Source organism: Homo sapiens, chromosome 6 (genome assembly GCF_000001405.40).
Source record: "Homo sapiens chromosome 6, GRCh38.p14 Primary Assembly".
Classification (NCBI taxonomy): Eukaryota; Metazoa; Chordata; class Mammalia; order Primates; family Hominidae; genus Homo; species Homo sapiens.
The window spans coordinates 137,349,122-137,354,747 of record NC_000006.12 but is presented as its reverse complement, the minus strand read 5'-3'; the positions used below and the strand labels follow the sequence as shown (position 1 = coordinate 137,354,747).

Here is a 5,626-nt window from a genome sequence, read left to right as displayed (position 1 = left end):
AATTTAAGTATTTGTTAATTTTAACATTTTTAATATAATCAAGGAGAATTTAGTGAACTGCATTTGATTTTATGTGGTTCCTGAAATTTTGGGACATTAATTGTTTTTGTTTTATTCATAAACAGATAAATTGTGCCTTTGAAAATACATAAAGTGTTTGTTTTTTAAAAAAAGAAAGGTGTTTTGTGCTTACTAAAGAGCACTATGAAGAAGTCTAACATTCTGTGAATTAATTTAATTCATAGCTGATCTGTAGGGTTATGAAGTCTTATGGTATATTTTCTTTACTTCAAACGAAACCCCTTTCCATGCAAACCTCCCTGCATAGTGAGTTTCTGACTTGTTTTTCCAAGGCTAAAACCGCTCTGTGTATGGGTATCACCTGGGGCTCTCTCTGGCTGTGGAGCACAGGCTGAGTGTCCATATTGGAACTGCCAATTCTTTTGACGGCCCTGCCCGTTTCACTACTATTGGGCCACAACTCTTAATCAAAGTCACTTCAAAGACCCCAAACAGATTGATTCACATGTGAATGCTACCCAAACTGTCTTCAAAAGGAGGAGGGACTCTAGTCTTATGTTCCTTTGAACCTACTGTTGCTCATTTACTAGTATTTACTTTGCATGGCCTATGGCTGAACCATGGAAATTGGAAAACAAACTCCTATTCAGCAAGTCATGTCAAAGGTGACTGCAGAGCCAGAGAGTCAACTGTGGGACAGACATTCTTTCTGATCAGGAGGCCTCTTCTGCAGCGCTGCTGTCTCCACAGTTACATACCTGTCCATGGAAGCCTTTCGTTTATCTTGTCTATGTGGGAAGTCCTAGACGATGCCATCGATCTGGGAGATGAGAGAGATGCCCATATGACACTCCAACAATAGCTGTGGGGCAGGAAAAAAAGAAAAAGAAAAAGAAAATTAGCTGGACCCTGAACAAAGTTCTTTTGAGCTCTACTATGATTGTAGAGAAGATCCAATAGGCACTCTGTTCAGAAACATACTTCGTACACTTTCAGACACACAGTGAAGAAAGCATTTTCACTTAAGAACATAAAATGGGTACTGTCCAAGGATTCAGTGAAGAGGAAGACAGGAAATAACTACATCTCTGACTTTTCTTATGGTGGAAACTCAGACTCTCCCAGAAGAATGAAGCTGCAGCATGCATCACTGCCTCACAGTCATTTACGGTGAACATATTTCCTGTTGACTGTTCTTACAGTAGAATCAGGAAAGGGGTATGAAATGTGCCAGATGTGAATGGTTTGTGAGTTCTGTGATCCCCAAACCAGAGTTGCTGATATTATTATTAGTCTAGGTTGAACACTGAAAAATGTTAAGGTTATATTCCTCAGAGATATATCCAAGCATATTTTAAAGTTCATTTAGATCTGAAAAATTTAAGAACCCAGATTGAATTACATCTATTTTCTTTTCCTGGAAAAAAAAATACTTTGCATATATACATTTCTTATCTGATGGTGTTTTAAGGTTAAATGGTGAGAATTTTTCACAAGGCATGTGAAAGAGCCTCAGAAAAGTATAAAGGGCTTTGCACCATCTCAACCATCATCATCATCATTGCTAATAGAATCCTCTGGAAGCCTCGCTGACTGCCAAGTTTGTGATGGAAGCCAAGTCTCATTCATGTCACGAGAACTGAAATAAAGACGAAGTTTTTCTTATGGGAAGGTCCTTCTCTGACTAAGGGATTTGCTGCCAAACTCACAGTGCTGTCGTCAGCTGACCTTTGCGGCAAGGTGCAAAGTCCATCTGTTTACACAGACTTTTACTCCATAGGGGCTAATTTGAGATTAAATTTCTCGGACATGATAGAGAAGCAATGTGAATGTGAATGTTTATTTAGTGCTGGCTTTTCTGTCTAACATCACACTTTATAGATATTCCAAATGCCTCACAGAAATAGACCAATATATTCATTTAAAACACCATAAAATGTTATTTACAAGTCTAATTGAATAAATTATGTTAAATAAAAGGATAATAATTTTAAATACATACTGAGAATACAAATTCAAATACATTGTGGCAGAAATAGCACATTGTGTTTTAAATGATTGTGTTTTAATCACCATTTAGATATCAATATAGCTGAAATAAAAGCAGGTGAAGAGAAAAATATAGGAAAGTGTCCATTAAAAAGTCTTTTGGAGACCAGCCATGGCGGCTCATGCCTGCAATCCCAGCATTTTGAGAGGCCAAGGCAGGTGGATCGCTTGAGCCCAGGAGTTTGAGACCAGCCCGGGCAACATAGCAAAACCCCATCTGTACAAAAAATACAAAACATTAGTCAAGTATCATGATGCATGCCTGTAGTCCCAGCTACTCAGGAGGCTGAAGTGGGAGGATCACCTGAGCCTGGGAGGCAGAGGTTGCAGTGAGCCACAATCATGCCACTGCACCCCAGCCTGGGTGACAGAGTAAGACCTTGTCTCAAGAAAACAAAAAACAAAACAAAAAGTCCTATGGAGAGGCCAATGCCAATAACAGTGATTTCATGCATCTACTACACAGAATACTTCTCCACCCTTGGAGTTATTGCTATTGCAGAAGTCCTCTGCAAGGCTATCTCCATACGCAGCATCCTCAGATTCCACAACTCCAGTTAAAACCACAAACACATCACATCCTGACCTCATCAACCTTGGTTACGTCACTCTGGGGTGGTGTTTGCGGACACAAGGAAAGGAGAAGCAAGAAGCAAGCAGCTAGAGACATACCCGATAGAGGAGCTGGGTATCTCAGCCTCCACTCATTGTCTGTTTTCCACCCCGTCTTCCCCTCAAAGATCTGCTTTCTAGAATTTTCTCATTATACTATGAGTGAGAGACACTAGATTTGAAATATTTCCTTGTTATCATATCATTATCTAAAAATGTAAGTAAGCAGTAGTGACATGTATATTTTTACAGAATTAGTGGGAAATCTAGCCAAGAACACAACTTTTCTCTGTCTGTCAACCAAGTTTTTAATTCACCAGATCACATGAGCCCATGGACATATACCTGCCAGTGGGGGGACAGGTAATGGAAGTGATAAAGTGACTACTGGTATATAGAACTGAGGTAAATAACATTATGACTATATAATATTATAGGTCTTTAATTAGGTCTATTCAGCCTCAGGTTTAATTTTTAATCTACATTTTTCTTCTTCCTTTTTTTTTTTTTTTTTTTTTTTTTTTTTTTTTTTTTTTGAGACGGAGTTTCACTCTTGTTGCCCAGGCTGGAATGCAATGGCATGATCTCAGCTCACCGCAACCTCTGCCTCCCAGGTTCAAGCAATTCTCTTGCCTCAGCCTCCTGAGTAGCTGGGATTATAGGCATGCACCACCACACCCAGCTAATTTTATACTTTTAGTAGAGACGGAGTTTCTCCGTGTTGGTCAGGCTGGTCTTGAACTCCCGATCTCAGGTGATCCACCTGCCTCAGCCTCCCAAAGTGCTGAGATTACAGGTGTGAGCCACTGCACCTGGCCCATTTTTCTCCTTTTTAAGACAAATCTGTGCACTGAACTGCAGTTGTTATTTGCTGGAGATTGCTTGTTCAGTAATAATGAATAAAAATATTTGACATTTGGCCAGACATGGTAGCTCACACCTGTAATCCCAGTGCTTTAGGAGGTTGAGGCAGGAGGATTGCTTGAGGCCAGGAGTTCAAGACCAGCCTGGGCAACATAGCAAGACCCTACCTCTACAAAAAATTTAAAAATTAGCTGAGTGTGATGGCATGTGTCTGTAGTCCTAGCTACTTGGGAGGCTGAGGCAGTATTGCCTGTGCCTGGGAGTTCGAGGCTGCAGTGAGCTATGATCACACCACTTCACTCCAGCCTAGGCCACAAAGCAAGGTCCTGTCTCGAAAAAGAAATCTAACATTGATGGGCATTTCCACTTTGCCAAGTACAACTCTAAGCACTTGATAAGACTTGCTTCATTTAACTGGCACAAGAACCCTGTGAGGTGGTGCCACTGTTATTGCTACCTTACAGATGAGGAAACTGAGGCCTAAAGAACTGAGTAACTAGCTAGTAAACAAGGAGCTGGGATGACTCCAGAGACTGCATTATTAATCTCTGTGCCCTGCTGCTTCTTCAACGCAATTTGTATCCACTGAAAATCCAATGGACTGGGTGGAACATCAGTACCCGCTGAACTGGGGAGACTGTTAATTAGTGAGGAGACAAATCAAAGGAACAGCTTGGAACATAGCTACACACAAACTAAGGACTGACCCGTTGTGAGATAACCAAGGGAACATCTGCCAAAAACAGCCTGTTCTGATGTACAAAGATCATTTGTTATTTGCACAATAGACATTTGTATACAAATGAAGGCTGACATGAACTTAAACATTTTGCCCTGTGTTTGTCTTTGCCTTGTGTTCAAGCCAGCATTTAATCAGTTAAATGCTGTCTTTGAAATTTGGTTCACAGTGTTGGTTTCTAAAATCTACACGAACCAGAAGCCTACTGTCTCCGTCAGAATCGTGAGGAGCTCGGGAGAGGTGGTTTGGAGAATGGTGAAGTCTCAGTGTATCTGCTTTCAGTCTGTATTTGAGTCCCGAGTGTGGCTCTCTCATACCACTGATGTGCTTGTCTCTAAGTGAAGCCGACTGGAGCCTCGAATTTTTCTCCCTAGAACCCTTTTGACATTACGTGTGATAGAATGGAAATCTATCCCTGCTAGCAACAGGTGCAGCTTCAGGAAGAACACCATTCCACAGATAACAGGCATGCATATGTCTAGTGGATTTAATTAGACACAGTGCCCACTAGCAATTTCTGCAGATGTTCACATCAAATCACCTGAGCTAATTTTCTCATACTCTTCTGTTTAGCCTATTTTCTCACTCCCAAGTGTATGTACTCTCTCCTTAATCCTATGATGCCTACATGCAAACACACTTCCTTCTGCTCCTAGAATCCAGATACTTGATTCATTGTGTGATATTGAAGAGATTCCAATGCTGGTGGATGTTTAGTCTTCATTAAGAAATGCATATTATTCATGGTGAAGAGCTCTATCTGGAGGGTAGGGAAATAGTGGCTGTGTCTAGCTCGGAGTTCCAGTCTCTGATACAGAGAACGTGCACACTGGGTTCTCTGAGACATAGTCAGAAAGAACGGTGGCTGCATTTAACTGTCCTGCAGAAGCCCTTTGCTCAATCCAGTCCTTGTGGTCCCAGAAGTAAAGGCTTTTGCTAAAGAATGCAGCTTATTTCCCAAGGGTGTCTTACAGTATATGTACATAGCTAAATATACTGGATTAAAAAAACATAAGCATTTTCTAACAGAGTGAAAGAAGACTTGAACTAGTAAAGAGGCGATTTGGGAGCTTATCTCATGCCCATCCCTGTCTAGCTGGGTAATCTTCCTCTCTCGGCCTTAGTTTCTTTAGCTACAAAACAGTAAAGTAGAATGTTTTATTTTTAAGATTCCTTCTAACTTAAAAGCTGTATTTTAAATAGAGCCAAATTTCATTGTTTCTCTCTGCCCTAAAAGTGCAGCTCATGGCCCCACAATAACATTAGAGTAACAGACAGGCACTGAGGTTTACATAAATCCTTTAATCCACAACAGCTTTGTCAGACAGATATAGTTATTAT

General features: G+C 40.6%; 3 annotated features.

Annotated features, from left to right (window-relative positions):
- Window positions 545-689: an enhancer, noted in NCBI's record as "145 bp enhancer 183 fragment used in the MPRA reporter construct; PK_construct_811". NCBI's record gives its function as "activates an SV40 promoter by MPRA in HepG2 cells {active_cell/tissue: HepG2}" and the evidence as "EXISTENCE:reporter gene assay evidence [ECO:0000049][PMID:23512712]".
- Window positions 612-623: a transcriptional cis regulatory region, noted in NCBI's record as "FOXA motif; enhancer activity is reduced when this motif is scrambled". NCBI's record gives its function as "necessary for full MPRA enhancer 183 activity {active_cell/tissue: HepG2}" and the evidence as "EXISTENCE:site-directed mutagenesis evidence [ECO:0005528][PMID:23512712]".
- Window positions 3,264-3,459: a silencer, noted in NCBI's record as "fragment chr6:137672426-137672621 (GRCh37/hg19 assembly coordinates)". NCBI's record gives its function as "represses an EF-1alpha promoter that drives an FKBP-Casp9 reporter gene in an ReSE screen in HepG2 liver carcinoma cells {active_cell/tissue: HepG2}" and the evidence as "EXISTENCE:reporter gene assay evidence [ECO:0000049][PMID:32094911]".